The sequence below is a fragment of the Homo sapiens genome, chromosome 5, assembly GCF_000001405.40.
Source record: "Homo sapiens chromosome 5, GRCh38.p14 Primary Assembly".
Classification (NCBI taxonomy): Eukaryota; Metazoa; Chordata; class Mammalia; order Primates; family Hominidae; genus Homo; species Homo sapiens.
In genome coordinates, this window is record NC_000005.10 from 3,602,339 (window position 1) to 3,620,008 (window position 17,670).

The 17,670-nt window shown below is 49.5% G+C and overlaps 1 long non-coding RNA gene across 1 annotated transcript; it reads left to right on the forward strand.

Moving 5' to 3' along the window:
• The first annotated feature begins 3,221 nt into the window (after window positions 1–3,221).
• LOC107986399 (uncharacterized) lies at window positions 3,222–15,745 on the forward strand. The gene is made up of 2 exons (XR_001742554.2): window positions 3,222–13,684; window positions 15,092–15,745. It is a non-coding gene; the product is annotated as an uncharacterized LOC107986399 (long non-coding RNA).
• The last annotated feature ends 1,925 nt before the right edge of the window (window positions 15,746–17,670 follow it).

Here is a 17,670-nt window from a genome sequence, read left to right on the forward strand (position 1 = left end):
CGGATCCGGGACATCAGCATCAGTGGGTTCGGAGCGGGACGCGCGCCACGCGCCGCAGCAGGCACCTTCAGGAGGCTTTGCGGACCCGGCGCGGGGCCTTCAGGGCGCAGGCGACTCAGCGTTGAATGCGTGAAAACTGAGCCAGCAAACATTTCCAAAACTGCCAGCGAGGATGTGGGCTGCCGGGAAAAACGGTCTAGTGGGGACAGGGCCGAGTCCCGAAGTCAGAGCCGAGTCCCGAGGTCAGAGCGGCCGTCCTCCGCTCGCACCCCCAGCCTGTGACCCGCCCTTCCCGGCTTGCTCGAGACCCACTGGCGCCAGTGCTGCGCGTGGGGACTCCGTGCATGGCCGAAGCGAGGGGGAAAGTCGGGGCGCTGGTGTCTTTTCAGAGGTTCCAGGAAAGAGGGAGGCTCGCGTTAGGACTAGGAGGTGCCAGTCCACGGCTCCTACCCGCTCCCGACGCCCGCATCCTTCTACAGCCCTCCACCCCGTTCCTGGTCCCTGTAGAGGGGAAGGTCCTCTCCCTGCCCCGAGGCGGGAGGAAAAGCGGCGAAGAGGAGGCTCGAAGGGCGCCGCGTAGGGCAAGTGGGCCGAGGACACCGGGGGCGCGTCGGGGAGCGGGGAGTGGGCGGGGTGGGATGAGGCAGGGAGGAGCCGGGCCGGAGCGGAGTGGAGTGGACCGCGGGCGGACGGACTCGGGCCGGGCCCCGGGGAGCAGCTCCGCAGTCGGAATGGACGTGCTCCAGGCGCCCTCTATGGTCCGAAAGCGGAATGCGGCCTTGAGCAGCGCCCATCTCGCTCCTGGGGTGTGGGGGCAACTCTGGGGGCGCTGGGCCTTGGGGCTCCGTGGGCACGAGCCTGCATTTGTAGTGATGGGAACCAATTTGTGTTCCAAGGCTGCACCCACTGGTTCTTTTTGTGTGTTTTGGGGGAGTGCCGGGCCTGCAGGTTAGGCTACTGGCATTTGGAGGGAGTGGGCACTGGGCTCTACGTGGGGTGCTCTTACTGTCCAGTGCCTTCCTTGCTAAATCAGAGAGGTGTTTCTCATCTGCCCTCGGCCCTAGTCCTTCATGGATCATCAGAGCCCTGGGCTCATCATTCCAGAGGTTCTGCAATGGGGCCCTAGAGCCTACTTTGACTGCTGGGCCCAAATGGATCTTGTGTCCTTAGCCAAATCGTGTCTCTAGAGAGACTTGACCAGCTACGCCCTTCGCCTCTGGTGAGGAATTGTGTTCCCAGCCACAGAGACATGCTGCTCCAGCAACCAGTGTGCTGGGAGATGCCTTCTGGGTGACGCTGGAAACAGCAGGTTGGATTCAGGTGGGCCAGGTAGAGTTCTCTGCCCCTGGGCAAGCTCAGCTCTTTATTTCCCTGAATCAAATTGGATGGTCTGTGCTGGCGCCTGCTGCTTTGCACACCCCTATTTCCACCCTTTCCTGATTTTTTTGTCAATGCAAGACATTTGGGAACCCCCCCCACCCCCACAAGAACTGCTGCTGAGGTGGCTCGGCCAGCACGTGCTCATCCTTGGGAGTCCTGGCTACTGAGCTGCGTGGCCTAGAGTCATGAAAGGTCTGTGCACCTTCCTGAGAGCTAGGTTTTCCATACAAGGAAATCAGATCGCCAGCCTCAGAATTATTTTTCTCCAGTGAAAAGCTAAAATGAATTTGTGATGGAGCACTGAAGGCATTTTTGTCCTTTGGGCACTATTTGTTTACATCTTTCTGGCCACGGGAGCCATCTAGGTGTGCAGGCTCCCATGGGAACACCCCACGTGCCTGGTGCTTCAGCTCCTGAAAAATCTGGAGTGGACATAGAAAATCCACAAATATCCTTTGCTTCTAAAAACAAAGCCCTGTTAGTTCTGGAGGAGCTTTCTGCCTGAGGAAAGGGGCTTCCCTACCTCAGCAGTGCCCAGGATGGTTTCAGAGGTGGCAGCTGCTCTGTGGCCAGCAGGGAGGAGACAGTCCCTGAACAGACTAAGGGGAGATTGTCCACAGGACCAATTTCCAGACATTTCTTGTCATCAGAAATGGGTTTCCTATAGAAAAGTTCCCTTTTCTGGTTATACTGGGCTTTTTCTGGAGGGGTGTGTGTGTGTGGGGGGGGGAACAAGACACAAATCTGGTCCCGGGCTCCCGCGTTCTGTGTTACAGCCCTGGCAGCCCCAGCCCAAAGGTTGAGCTGGAGTCTCTGAAATCTCCCTGCTCCCACCATCCTGCCCACCGCCCTCTGATCAATTTCATTCACCAGCACATTTATCTCGCCTGCAATATGGGGAATTCATATTCATATCTTGGTTTTAGTGGTCTGACACTGATTAATGTAATACGCGCCTCGGCTCCAAGGGGTGCGCCACCGATGAATCATGCCCTATAAAGTTTCAGTCGTCCTTGTAGATGGGACTCTGCCAGAGAGCAAGGAAGCTGGAGTGAGGGAGGGAGGCAGAAAGGAGAGAGGACACGGTGGGTCACAGCACCCAGGGGTACCTGGGACAGGCACTGGCCTTTGGCTTTTCAACATGGAGGATTCAGGCAGGCCCTGTCCTCTCTGCTTTTGAATCTCTTGCCTGAGAGGGGAATCCTAATTCCACCCTCCCCTGCCCAACCCAACCATGATGCCAGTGGGTCGCTGGTGCCTCCTCTCACAGAGGCAAGGTCTAGGGTGGGGTTGGGGATTCCAAGTGGAGATGGGGTTTGTGGACTTCGACTTGGGAAGAGTGGACCACTGAATGCACTTCTCAAAATGACAGGGCCCTGTTTGTTGGTGGGGACTGCAAGTTGGAGGTCAAAAAAAAAGGGAAGGTAGCAGAGCCTGGGGAGGGTCGCCTGCAAGGCTGGGGGAGCATTGGCCCCACGGAGGAGCGGAGCTTCGTGGTGCCCTTGTGGAAAGAACTTGCAAGGCCAGAGGAACCTCCAGTGGTCAGTGGCCACTGCCTCTGCAACGCGGGCCACACCACAGGACCCAGCACTGCCATAGGAGTCAGCCAGGCTCTGAGCCCTCCAGAAAGGAAAGGGAGGCTTTGGGGAGCCACACACTGAGCGTGCTCCCAATGCCTGGTGACTTCTCTGTCCCCACAGAGGGCCCTGCCATCTCACTGGCCCCGAAGTCAGCATGTGGCACCAGGTGGGGAGGGAATGTGGGGTGGCCCTGGGGCCGTAAGTCCAAGTTGGGGGCCGGGAGACAGGGCAAACAGTGGAGGGGGCGCATTCTGGGGGAATTAAGAAGCCCACCCACCTTTAGGTGTCCCTTGAGCCAGCGAGCGTGGGGAATGCGTAGATGTGTGGAAGGAGAGCTCCCCACTCAGGGCACCCAGCCGCCTCTCCCACCCGGAGACTTTTTCTGTGACTTGGCCGCCGACCCTGGCGCATGGACAACCCCAGAGCAATAGGAGCGGCTCCAGGGAGAGGCCATGCTTTCCAGGTCTTCTCCGGCACTCCCCACAAAGCCAGCGACTCCAATTATGACTCCTGAGCTGAGAGGCCTGCCAAGGTCATCCCACGGGGGCTGCTGGCCGCCTTTTGTACCCGGTGACTGGCGGCTGGACGCGGATCCCCTTCCCTCGCCCCAGAATGACGTCTGAAAATGGACCTCTTAGGGCGAGCGCGGACGGGGCCAGATGCCAAGGCGGTCCCGGCCCGGTGACTTCAGCACTGCGAGCCCTGGGCCTGGGGGCCCCGAGTATTTTGAGGGGCCCAGGAAAATGGTTTAATTTTTTTCGTATAAAAATACCCGGTAATTTTTGGGTCGAAGAAAATGTGTTAATGTCTATCAATATATTCATCTTCATACCAATGGAGTGGTAAAACAAAATTTTTAATAAGTTTCTCACGAAGAAGGAGTCTGCCTTAGGCCCACGGAAGTCACCACGTGGCCTGGGACTGAGGAGGCTTCAGGAGCGACCTAAAATGTTAGGATTGCTCTAAATGAGGAGGCAGAGAAAGGGCGGCCTTGAACCCGGGAGGGAGCAAGGGATGGAGCTGCGCCCTGGGTGGCAAGACATGGCAAGCCAGGCAGCTGGGACCTAGAGAAGGCTCGGCCGCGCCGCAGGATCCCAGGCTGTGGGCCTGAATGGTGACCACGCGGAGTCGGAGTCAGCTCGCGTCCGCGCCGTCCCAGCTCCCCGCCTGAACCCGGCGCCCCTCCGCGAGGAAAGGCCGGCCCTGGCCCTTTCTGGGCAGTGAGGGGGGTCAGGCCGACCCGGGGAAGAGGCCGAGCAGTCAGCGCCCCTCCTTCCCCTCGGGCGGGGCATAAGTGGCCGCCCTCTCCGCGGCTGCTGTTGGGCTTCTGAAGACGCAGCGGGTGTCTCTGATCCCCTAATCCATTTATCCAGAGTCCCGAGCGCAATGGCTGGTGCGGGGACACAACGGCAGGAGGTGGCGGGGGTGGAGGGAGACCGGGCACTCAGCTAGCGCCACCCTCCTCCCGCCCCACCCGAGACGCTGAGCCACGACCCACCCTCCACGGGTCCCACGCCCTCAGGCAGAACGCAATGGTGGGAATGACGCCAAGGTCGGTGAAATCTTCCAAATTGAAGGGCTTTTATTTTAAATTCCGATTCCCCTTTGAAACAGCCCTTTCGATGAGGGAAGAAGCCAGCTCGGTTTCTGCGTGCGTGTTTATGATCTACCTGTGAGCGCGGCGCTCTGGAAGGTCACCCAGGCTGCGGACGCCCTGATAGCGGGGTGACAGCCTGCAGGATTCCCCAGCTGGTCACTTTCATTCTTGGTGTGTGTGTGTGTGTGTGTGTGGTGTGTGTGTGTGTGTTTCTCTGTCTTCTCCTGTTTGCTGTTTGTCGCTGCTGTATCTTTGCTTGTTACTGAATTTTAAACATATGCTTAATTGCCAGAGCCTTGGATAGCTGCAGAAATGACTGAAAATATTAAATACATCTGTGAGATGGTGGGCAAGAGAAATTAAAAAAGGTGCTCTCTGCAGTGAATGTTAAAAAGATCTCACAATGCAGTGATTAACATTTTTATGAATAAAATTAATCACGCATTAAACTCTGCAGCACAGTACATCTGAAAGCCAAATGTGGACCCGAAGCCCCCTTTCTTACACCTAAGAATTTGGAGCCTTCCCTGGCCCACAGCAAGCATTCAACCATTAGGAATTTCAGAGTATTTATGAGAAGATAAGTCAATAAGCGATATCTAAGTTTGAGCTACCCCCTCAAAAGAAAAACCCTCCAAAAATGCCTCCACCTCCCTCTCCCCCTGCCCTCCTTAACACACAAACACATGGCAACATTAAAAAGCAACCAGTAATTTTTAAAATTTTTTTTTCTTTTAGCAAACTCTCAACCAAAGCAGGCCATTTCCATTCTCAGATATGCACGTGGGATATGTGGCCCTGGGTCAGGGAGGGCAGGCAGGGCTGATACGAGAGGAGGGGCTGGAGTCCGCTTTTCCCTTCCTGACCCCCATCCTGGGCCCGCTGTTCTGGCAAAGCTGATCAGATTGGAGGGTGGGTCTTCTGCATTATTAAAATTTCCACTCTTCCAGATAATAAAGTGTGATTTCTCCTCTCTCTGTCTCCCCTTCTGCCTCCTTTCTAATCTCTTGCCACTGTGGTTTTGGGATTATTCCAGCAGGCTGTACAAAGGGAAGCGAAGGCATCTGAAGTGTCACTCTACAGCTGTGCAAAGTAACAGCATTTCCATTTTGTTGATGCTCCCAGCTCATGTGCGCAGCAGAAGGTGAAATCAAAGAAGCCGGTCCTCCTCAGTTGTGCACATTATTTTTCACTGCTGTGGCGAATCTCTCCGAGCTCCGTGAACCAATAAAACAACGGTCCCTGTTTGAGTTGATATATTAATATTTACTGAGGATTTGCAAGGTTGGGGTTAAATGTCAGCAGATTGCGGGGGCAGTCCTGTGGGGAATAATTAAACAAATCTCACAGCAGTTCAGCTTCCTAACATCTTTATTAATCTTTTTTCTCCTTCCCTCCTGAAAGAGTACATTGAAATATTGCTTTTGCAACCTTAGAGAAGATTCAGAATAAGCTTAATAATAAAATACTGCGTTGGCGATGTGTGTACCTGATGGTGTCCCGGACCCTTCCCTTCCAGGTGTTAGTGAGTGGGGGAGACTCTGATGTGTGAGTCCTCACCAAGCTGTTGTGATTCTCACCTGCTCTTCTATCGAATTTATGGTGACCAATTTGCCAAACACAATAAGACTGTTCCTGTGATTTGATCCACGCCCTGGCTACGCCTGCACGGCCCACTCTGCTGAGCAAGGTGACTGCAGGCTGCTTGTTCTGAGGCCTGCCTTCTTTAACGTGATTACAGCGTGCACTTTAGTACAAGTTCGACAATTCTTTTTAATAAGCTTCATAATTAGTGTTGGGATGCCTCATTACAAGTCATAGCCTGTAGCGGTCCTAGGCCACACAGCCCTCTGCAATCTGATTTATTTTTTATCAGGCAGCAGGAGCTGTCTGGAGTTTTTGTTTGTATAATGGGGGCCTGCATTAGGCCCCCAGTGTAAAAATACCACCAGGAAATTAATTGCTTCTGTGTGGATTCACCACAGATGTGTCCTGTTGATCAGAATAGTGTATTTTTGACTTTGCTGTCCTGCAGTGAATTGTAAAAAAATAAAATGAAACCCAGCAATGCAAACATATTAGCATCCATGTAGATTCAGGAGGCATCATTGAAAACATGGGGCTTCAAAGGAGGATGTCCAGGGCAGGTTCGAGATTCTGGTAAGACTTTTTTCCTTCCTTTCCCTTTTCTCACAGCTCTTATTTGATAAGAAACCCATGTATTTTTGTATTGCCTGTAAAGGAAACCTCTCCATGAAAAGCACAGGGCCAGAGTCTCAGTTGGTTTCTGGCTGAAAGATTACTCACGATAAATACACCCCAGCAGAGTGGCTGATTTCCCCGACACCCACCCCCGGCATCGAGACCTCTGCAAGCTTCAGCAGACGAGGGCCTGTCTCCAGCGTGCCTCCCGGCCACCCCAGAGGGAACACAGGTGGATGCTCGGCGGCCGGCCTTGTGGACTCTTCGAGGGTGGCGTGTGTGTGCCACATATTTCCCCGTCAGACCCTGGTTTCCCCTCATTGCTCCCTGGGCTAAGACAGAAATACATGCCAAAGGCTTCCTTCCTTCCGTCTCTTTGCTCTTGCATCACGCCACTTGCCCAGTTCCTGAATTCTGATTAGGTTGTGAATTGCACCTCCAGCTTTGAACACTTACAGGATTTTTTTTTTTCAATCTTAGTCCCTGAATTAGAATGTGTTACTTCTGTGTTCTCTTCCCAGCACTGGACAGGTCGTTGTTGGTGCTTCCGTGTGGATGGATCACATCCCGAGGGTGGACATTTTGCTCCTGTATTCCTTTGTTTGTTCTTTTTCATCCAGGAGTTTTTATCATTCTCCTTGTCCTTCTCTTTTGAACTCTCCTGTGGTCAGCTGTCTGCTTTCCTTGCTCAGCACGGTGTTGGGATGGGGTTTGTAAATTTAATTTCAGATAACATCTTGTTTGTGAAAAAAAGAAAACTAAAGATCAGTGTAACAATAATAGTGAAGCATATGGAATAAAACTAAAGATCAGTGTAACAATAATAGCGAAGCATATGGAATTGTGAAGGAAAATAAATAGGTTTAGTATACACAAGAACATATTGCTCTGATGGTTTTATTTTATTTTATATTTGTTTTTTCTCTGACTTTAAATGCTCCTAAAGACACATTTGGCATTTTTGCGCCAGTAGCAAGGATGTGCAGAGATGTATTGGTGGAAGAATTCTAGTGGTTCCCTATTAAAATTCTATAACTTGCCGTATTACCAGTAAACGTGAGCTGCCAGAGCCTACAGGTAGGCAAGGGCTCCCAGAAGGAGAGGCATGAGGAAACCTTGCCAAGAAGGCAGGGGAAGCCCCAGTGGTCACTCCCACATGGCATTCAGACGGAGGGTCCTCCAGCATCGTGGGCTCAAGAGTTGTCCAAGTGTGTGTTCGTGTGTGTGTGGTGTGTGTGTGAGAGAGAGAGAGAGCACGCTAGCTCTCAGGATGGGGATGTTGGGGAGGAGGCCTAGAACTGGGTTTCTCCCTCTGTGTAATCTACTCTCTCTTTATCCTCCTCCCAGATACCTCTCACCCTCGGGAGAAGACTCTTAGAGAAGCTTGTTACAAATGCATATTCCTCAGCCACCCCCTCCTGAATTCCTGTTTCAGCAGGAGTGGAGTGGGCCCAGGAATGTGCATTTTAAATCAGGATCATTCTGAAGCTGAAGGTGTAGCCTAGGCTTCGACCCTAAGCTGCGTTAAATGACTTCTTGCTAGAGAAGACCCCACTAAAAGAGTCCAGTGTCACCCGCCCTGGTTTATTAACACTTGAACTGGGATGGGAAGGTTTTAACTTATTGCAGAGCCAAACAAATTAATCTTTAATGGTGAGCATTGCTTCTGCTCACCAAGGGAGGGGACCTCTGGGAGCTCTCTGCAGTGCTCCCCTGGCCAGCTCCTGGGGGAGGGGCCTGGTCACTGTGAACACATTCTGGTTGTGCAGAACCCACGGCGACAACAGATCTTCGCTGATGTCCTACTGTGTCCATGGACGTCAGGGCCATTTATCAATTCCCAGCAGTTAAAAAGGGGATAATGAAATGTTGCCTGATCCCCAACTTATAGCTGGAACCGAAATGCATGGCAGATTCATTTGTCAGCCAGCAGCAGCGGTGGCATTTTGGGCTCTGTATTCTAGGGACAGTTCATTCCAAGGGTCTTCTCTGCAATGGAGGGCCGCTGATTATTTGTGACATAATTAACCTTTACTCATGCACATTTTCCTTTTTACTATTCATGCAGTTGCTAATTCCAAAAGTAGATGGCAGTTGTCCAAGACGTAATGAAATGGATGCCGTGAGTGAGAGTCTCTCATTTGGTGAACGAGGCTGCGGACCCTTGATAGAAAGTCCACATTGAAGGAAGCCCCCAGTGAAAGGAATAATAAAATAATTGTAATAATAAAATACTGGGGAATAACAAAATGTTGTTGAGTACAGTGTTGTGAATGAGACCTGAGTGCTGACCCCAGGTGGCCTCCAAGGTAGGACAAGGAACACAAAACCCAGGAGACCTTTCCAGGGAAAAAAAGCAAAAAGATCACCACACCCAAGACACTTGCTTTCCTCTTCATTTTTCCTCCCTCTGTCACCCACGTAGAAAAATAAAGATAGAAAAGAGTTTCTTAGCCAAGTTTGAAACCAGCCTAATTTACATGGACTGATGTTCATTTTATCTTGGGCAATACTTCTAAGAAGGAAGATTTTTTTTGACTTTGTTAAGAAAGGTGGCTGGGCACAAGGGCTCACGCCTGTAATCTCAGCACTTTGGGAGGCCAAGGCAGGCATATCACTTGAGCCGAGGCGGACGTTTTTGAGATCAGCCTGGGCAACATGGTGAAACCTCGTCTCTACTAAAAATATAAAAATTAGCAGGGCATGGTGGTGCATGCCAGTAATTCCAGCTACTTGGGAGGTTGAGGCAGGAGAATCCCTTGAACCTGGGAGGTACAGGTTGCAGTGAGCCCAGATAGCCCCACTGCACTCCAGCCTGGGTGACAGAGGGAGACTCCATCTCAAAAAAAAAAAAAAAAAAAAAAAAAAAGACTCTTCTAATCAAATCAAGAGAAATGTAAGGAAATACATAGATGTGGTCAGGACCATGTATTTTTAGTAGAGACAGGGTTTCGCCATGTTTGCCAGGTTGGTCTCGATCCCCTGACCTCAAAACATCTAAACTCTCTCCATGGTTTTCTGACTTTCCATGTTGTAACTTATGCCTATATTTAAATACTATTTTGTTATTTTATAAGATGCCATGTTTATATGGAGGTTGCAGAGAGCCAAGATCACACAACTACATTCCAGCCTGGGTGAGAGAGCAAGACTCTGTCTCAAAAAAAAGAAAAAGAAAGGCCCTCCAAACATTTTGGGCATCAAATATCTGTTAAAAGCAAACATTTTGATAAGGTGAGTATAAATGAAAAAGAAACATATGGCTTTGATTTTTTTTGAGAAGCTTACTTTGAACCCCAAATATTTTTGGAAAGTTCGAGGTGTTCAAACACTGTGCAATTGGGTACACCCATCCATAATTTTAAGGGGCTGAATTCAATGCACATGTTTTGGATATATTTACAATTACCAGAGTCAACTGTTCATTCTGGATAGCTTTTGATGTGGAAGAATTCCTCTGGGGCTTTAACAATCACTCTGCAATCTCTTTTCCCTTTTGGAAGTAGAAGGGTGTAACTTCCCAGAGTTGCATAACCTCCTCGTCCCTCACATTGCATACTGACTCCAGCCTCTTGGCTGCTAAGTGCTAGGGAGTATCAAAGTTGCAGAAATGCCTTATCCATGGTAGGAAGATGTTACTGTTGGAGGGAGAGTCCAGAGCTCATCAGTGCAGGTCATGACTTGTGACTCTTAGGTAGGAATGAGAGTGAGCCCTTGTTCTCATTCCCTGCCTTCCACCTCCTGAAGGGCTCAGATACAGGCAAGTTCTCTGGAATTTCCGCTCGTGGATGAGTTTTACCGATGACATTTTAATTTCAATGAGTCAAAAATCAGTGCTGTGGCATGTGTTATGTAAAAGCAGTTCATATTTTAGAAAGTTAAAGCCTATCTCCCAGCCCTGAAGAGATGTCTTTAAAATGACTTCCCACGGGTGTCAACACATGTACGCAGGCAGATAGAGGAGAACGTATCTTAGTCCTGACTTAGGATCATTAAAATTCCTGAACCTTAAGGAACAATTGTGGGGTGCCAGGCATTCTTTGTAGTTGACACGGAGTAATGGATCTGGTGAGGCTGGAGTTACTATTCATGTAATTTTAAGGCTTGTGGGACTGGGACACAGAAGTCACCTCGGAAGCTCGAGGTCTATTGCCTCTGAATATAACCCCCTGCCCCTGGCCCAATGGCATGGGAGGAGGAGGGGCTCTTGCCATGCCTGCCTGGTGTGTGACGGTGTGGCTGTCTTTCTGAGCCTTGAAGGGCTGTGGGAGCTCCCCTGCCATGGGAGCCTCTGTGTGCCTTGCTCCCTGATGGCCCTCTGTGGCCCTCAGCCCCTGCCATTGCTTCACTAACGCCTAGGGATGGGGCTGATCTGTTGCAATATTTTCCTTTTAAAATTGGGCTGCAATTTTCTCAATTTTCTCTCATCAATAGGCAATACTATTTCTTTTCTTAATGATGTCTTTTCACACCAGAATAAAACAGGCCGGCGTATCGTTAGCAACCTTCTTTTTGTAGGAGAAAAGCGCTTGTTTCTCCATTGCCACAGACATCTGAGTTCTATGTAAAACAGGTGTCCACGGTTCTCAGAACTTGCAGTTGGTTCCATCTTCCTGGTTCTCCAGTTCTCCCTTCCATTGACAGTGAAGATCCTGGTTACTCCTGTATTGCCACCCCCCGCCCGGTGTGTACGGGATGGAAGAGGAGACCCACACTGCCGTGGCATGCAGAGGGCTGCCAATGCACACATTTCCTGTGTTCCTCTGAGTGTCACAGTGAGCCCTTGCGGGGGACACTCCCACACTGGGAGAGCAGCCAGGGCCCTGTGTACCCCCACCGGCAAGGGCTGAGCCATCTTCTGCCTCCATGGGTGGGTAAATGGGATGCCCTCGGCCTTCAGGACTGAAAGTCCAGTGGGCCTCACAGGATGCTCTACCTACAGGGCTCAGGCTCGGGAGCCTCGAGAAAACAGCCCAGGCTTTGCATCAGACCACGGTGCCATCCAGGGCCTTGGTCCTGCCTTTCTCTTGGCTTCTTTATTTGTGTAGTTGGACCACTGAGATTTTAACCTCTTCTAGAAATGCACATTTAAAATAATATGATACTTATAATTCCTCTCAAGTAAGATGCTGAGCAAATTTTAGGCTATCCATGAATGCCGATTTCCTTTCTCCTCTGTACACAAGAGAGAGAGAAGAAATATGTTGTTTGTTCTGACTTCCCTGGAGATGCATACACTTTATTTAACAGGATTTTCAGGGGCTAGTGATGGTATTTGCTGGATCTTTAGAATTAAATGTCAACTCACAACGATGACCACATAGCTTCTTTTGCTTTCTGTTTTCTTTCTTTTTTTTTTCTGAGACGGGGTCTCACTGTCACCCAGGCTGCAGTGCAGTGGCACAATCTTAGCTCACTACAATCTCAAGTGATCTTCCTGCTTCAGCTTCCTGAGTAGCTGGTGCACACCACCATACACAGCTCATTTTAAAATTTTTTCTTACAGACATGGGGTCTCACTATGTTGCCCAGGCTTGTCTCAAACTCCTGGACTGCAGCGACTCTCACGCCTTGGCCTCCCAAAGTGCTGAGATGACAGGCATGAGCCGCCACGCTGGCCTAGGTCATTCTTTATAGGCAGATGCACCTGCTTCTTCATATTCATGCCTTTGATGCCTCCTCTCTCGGTGACTCAGAAGCAAACACAGATGAAACCCCTACATCATGTGCACAGGCCAGACATGCATATTCATTACATTTTTCAAAGTTCTTTATGAGTGGGATTTCCTGTAGTACCTGAGGACCATCTTGATTTACTTTAATTCTGGGTCTCATGTTCAGGTTCCCCCACCTTTTTCTGGTTTTGTGACTTATGTCTCATCAGGGCTCCTAATGCAGGAGAAGGGCTGAGTGTTTGCTGCTGATGGTTTGGGATAGTGTGTCTGCTCAGCATGGGAAGGAGAAGGCTAAGATGACACCATTGGCTGTTTTAGGGTCGTCTCATGAGGAGTTAGCAGATTTTTCCTCTTTTACTAAGAGGCTGGAAGGAGTACTGCTGTGGAGAGAAGTCCAGGAAGAAATCAGCTCATCTAAGGAAGAGTGTTCTAACGAGAGAGGCTCAGAGGGAAGGTGTTAGGAGTTTCCAGAAATGACCCAAGGAGGAGTCATTCCAGAAGATGGAAAGCATTTGCTATGGTGTTGTGGAGGGCATTTTTCCACTGGGATGATTTGGACTTTTTGACAGCTTCCGGTTTCTTCTGATTCTCAGAGGCTGTGAATTCATGATAGAAGCAGCCTTTTTGCATTCTTTAGGTCTTCATCATCAAAATTGCTTGTGTGTGTGTGTTTCTGTTTACCCAGGTAAGTTTCTAGCCTTTTCGTTCCCTAGTGTTGCTATGCTAACCCTGCAGTGTGTCCTACATCCTTGAGGACAGGACCTGGGATGCCACCAACACTGTCCCCCAGAACTTGTCCTTGATGTTCTGATGCAAACCCAGAGGAACAGCTGTCCAGCTCCAGCCTGATTTACATACACAACCCAGGTGCCCTTTGGGGAGCCACACAAAAGAGAAAGCAAAGGTGAGTGAGTCAGGGTTTGGGGAAGAAAAGGCACTCAGCAGCCGAGAGGCAAAAAGCAGAGGAGCCAGTGTCTTTCAGTGGTTTGCATCTATCTCTTTGTGTCTCTCCCCAAAGTTTCTGAGGCTCCCCACACCCCAGGAAGGGCATCTCTGAGAGTGTCCTTCTGGTGACAAGGCTCTGTGGGAGCAGCGAGGGGCAGAAAGGCTCACGTAGAAAAGGAGGAGGCATGGCTGCCCCAGATCGCTCTGGAGACTGAAGGTGCAATCGCCATGGATATGACATCCACCCTCGTGATTGTGGTCGGGTTTTGTCTATGATGTGAGGGATCTAACGATGCTTCTGAATGGTAAGTGACATGTGCACGTAATGTCTGCGCATGTGTGAGGTGTGTGGGTGTTGGAGGTGGTGTGGGAAGGGCATGGGGAGAGACAAGGATCAGCGTTGCTAACTTGATTCAAGTAGACACCAGCGCGGATGACTGAGGCCTGTGAACCTCATGTGTTTACCGAGGGAAAGTCTCCTATCCCAAATGTCTTTGTCTCATTGCTATAACCTCACGGACCCTGCAGGGTACACACAGCTCATTTTACTGGTAGGAAAATGAACCCCATAAGGCTGAGTGAAGTTGCTAAGTACCCACAAATCTGTCTACGAATGGAGAGAAGAAGGAATATGCTAGTCAGGGCCACCTGTGGCCAGTGTGAACATGTGACAGCATGTGTGAGGAAGTGACTCCATGTCAGCACATTCCCAAGGTCTTCAGGCCACCTGAGAAAGGTGGCCAGTAAAGGGGGGGCAGAGGGCATCTGGGAGATATGAGCGGACAGGGCCTCAGCATTGGCCTTCTGGTCTCCAGGGCTTGGCACATTCACGCCAGGTTCCACAGATCTGCCTGCTTCCATTTTCCTGAGCTCAGCCTTCATTCCCTGACTCCATCCCTAAGAACTCACACATGCCCCAGCAGGTGGTCCTCATTGACCTTGAAGTTGGGCCAGAGTGGCTGCGTGTGTGTCTCCTCCCACTCCGAGTCTCCCAGCATCTCCTGGCCTGGCCACACTGGTTGTGGTCATGATGCTGTCAACCATCACCACTGCCCGGACCCTGAACTCAGTCTTTGGACCCTTTGCACATGAACAGCTTTGTTTTCCTGTATTGTCTGGACTCTAAGACTTTCTCATTCAGAGGGATTTTACAAGGACCTGTTGAAATTCACTTGATGAATAGCAATTGCCTTGATTCTGGATCAATATTGGGCTCCATACCTAAGTGCATTCAAAGTCTTCTCTTTGCAACTGAGGCCCTGTGCCCGATTGCATTGCTTTCTTTCTAAGACTGGGACCCTCTTAAGGGTAGAGGTCTTTCTGCAAGTTACCCAGCCAGCATCATATACAAAATGGAATCTGTGTAAAGCGTTGCTAATGGTGATGCCTCTGTTTCCTCATCTCACTGAGTTGCATATGATGCCAAGTGGCTTAAGGATGGTTTTGTACACCCTGTGTTCAAGAGCTACATCAACTTTAGTTCTTTATTTAAATTAAACACTTAATTTTGGCAGTGGTAGGTGGTAATGAAGGGTAATGGAACATGTGAGCAGCTAGTGTCTAAGTTCCTGAAATTATGGAGGGCACAGGTAGGAAGCTCCGTGGGGCAAAGCGTGGTTACGAGGCCGGACTGGGTGGAGTTAATGAGACAGTGACTTCCTCCCTTAGGACTCTTCCTTGTGTGCAATGTTTGTCTTTCAAATACTCTCTAGGCTGCAAACATGTGCCATGTTCCCACTGAACGGGCTTCCTTCTCGCAGTATTTTCCTTACCTGGCCCTTTGCAAGAACATTCTACACGGATTTCCCTGAATTTGAAATCTGAGCTCATGACTTTAGAGACAGTGCTGGCTGACTTCATTCCAGGAGGACTGAGCTCTTCCATTTTCCGACAGACATGGTGCATTCTGTGGTCACTTTCCAAGAGCCCGTGGTGGGTTGTCCTGTTTCTGTTGGTGGGAAACAAGTTAAACACAATTTGCTATTTGCCTTTCACCCCTCAGTTCATCATGAGATCATTAGTCGGCTGAGTGACTGCTGTCCCCCAGGGGCTGGGAGAGAGGGGGTCTTGAGGGAGTTACTGGTGATACTGCATGCCTGTGGGTTGGGGGATCATATCCTATTTTTATCAGATGGAATATGCTGGACCAGAAAAAAGAACCACTGGGAACTGTGTTCTTCCAACTTTGGTTTCAGATCCCTCTAGTTAATGCCATCCATGAAAACAATTAACTTCTCTATATTTCAGGATCCAGGCAGGACCTTGTAGGAATCTTATTTAATTATGTGCTATATTAATGTTATATTGATTATGTTATTGCCTGTAAATCCAGTTGCTTAATAAAGCTGCAGTCATTTTGCAATAAAGTTGCATTTGCAGTCAATTAATGGGTGTCTGGGGGTTGGAGAGCTATCTGAGGGGCGTTGATGCTAAGAGAACACGTCCTTGGGCTGAGCACCCGAGGCACCCACAGAGAAAGCCAGGGGTGTATGTGTATGTATGGGAATGTTTGTGTGGGTAGGTATAGAGTTGCATTAAGTCAAAAGGCAAAGCATTTGGCCTGTGGCACTTATTTTTAGCTCATGGAGCTGGATATTTATGAACAGCTGACTGTATGGCCCAGCTCAAAAGCGGCACTGAGGCAGCGTCCATCCGGGGGATGGGATAGTGTTTGATTTCAAAAATACCAGTAAATGATAACTGCCAGTATGGAGAGCATGTGAAGGCTAGGGAACAAAGCACACTTTCATTGCTCATCATGCTAGCATCCAAGTTGGAGGAACATACCCTCCCATTCAGAGGAAATGCCATCGCTCCTCTGACAATCACATCTGCCACCAATATCGTTCGGCATGTGGTCCGACTTTTATCTTTCTACCAAAATTTCATGTTCTGATTTTTACATCTGATGATAAATGCAGGTCACTACGAAATGAGTACAACTATTTATTTCTGTCTCATCTTTCGTGATGTGTCCAAGATGTGTGTTCTCATAACGGAACATGAATAAATATTAAAGTCTTACGAGTTTATTTTTAAGAATGCACCCTAGCAAATATAAAATAAGACATTCCCTAATTCAGATAGATAGCTGATCTTTCCCATAAATGGAAGTGATATGAAAATCATATAACTATACTCAAGTAATTTTATTTGGAGGCAGACAAATGGTTCTACCATGACAATTATTTGTTGACTTTTTAACATGCATGTCTCTTTGACCATAAGGATGATGTTTAAAAATGTATAAGCTCATGATGAAAAATGTCGTTTATGACAATGAAGCATATATCAGTGACAAACCAAATAACTCTCACCCGGGAATACAGAAAGGACCCAAGCTCTGGGTCTCTAAGCCTCCCTGATACCAGCTCCTGCTCTTGTCCAGGGCAAATAATTGTAAACCACAGTATAAAACCCAATATTTCCTCCAAAGTTTCTGCAGGACTTTCCAAGAATGTGTCTTTTTGTGTTATTTTTTCTGTGCCTCTGTCTCCCAGCTGTCCCCTCATTCTGCAGGCTGGAAGCACACCGGCCCATCACTGCACATGACAGGTGCTCAGCAGTGAGGGCTTCTCAGTCTCAGGAATGTCCTTGCTGCTTCACTGTGAGGCTTCCAGGTATCAGTGCACTCCAGAGTTGAGTGTCCCTATCAGAGAAGGAATGTTCCACGTTAAGCCAAGTTTATGTCTCCAAGGCTGTTGTCTCTCTAGCTTGGAGGACCAACTCCCCTTGTGACAGTTGGTGGGCACTGGAAGCTGAAAGAAGATGAGAAGAACAAGCTGGGGGGCCAGCCCATGACCCCCGAGGACAGCACAGTCCTTCAGTCACCCGCAGCTGGCATCAGCCCAGAGTGGCTGCAGGGAGATGGTATTTAGATCCGATCCTTGGGATCATCTCCGATAAGGAAGTTTAGTGTGTGGGGAACGTGAGACCTCCAGATTCCACAGGATCCTCAATTGTTTTGTCCCCTTACTATTACCACTGGAATGAATCATTGGAAAGAGTTGGTCACTCCAGCTTTCCTTGCAACTGTGGTATGAATCAAACAGAAATGCCACCAAGTTGAAATGAACGTATGCTGACATCCTGTTTCCTGGATAGGAACTGAAGAGGATCTTGAGTGAAGTGGGAAGTAAAGGCCAAAAAAAACTAGGGCGGAGGCAGCTTCCACAACCCTCCCCCAGCCCTGCAGGGACCTGGCCTTTCAGAGAGCTGCCCAGCCCCTGTGGCAGCCACGCTGTGATTCATACAATGAAGTTTTGTGGTGTCCAACTGTCTCTGAGCAGGG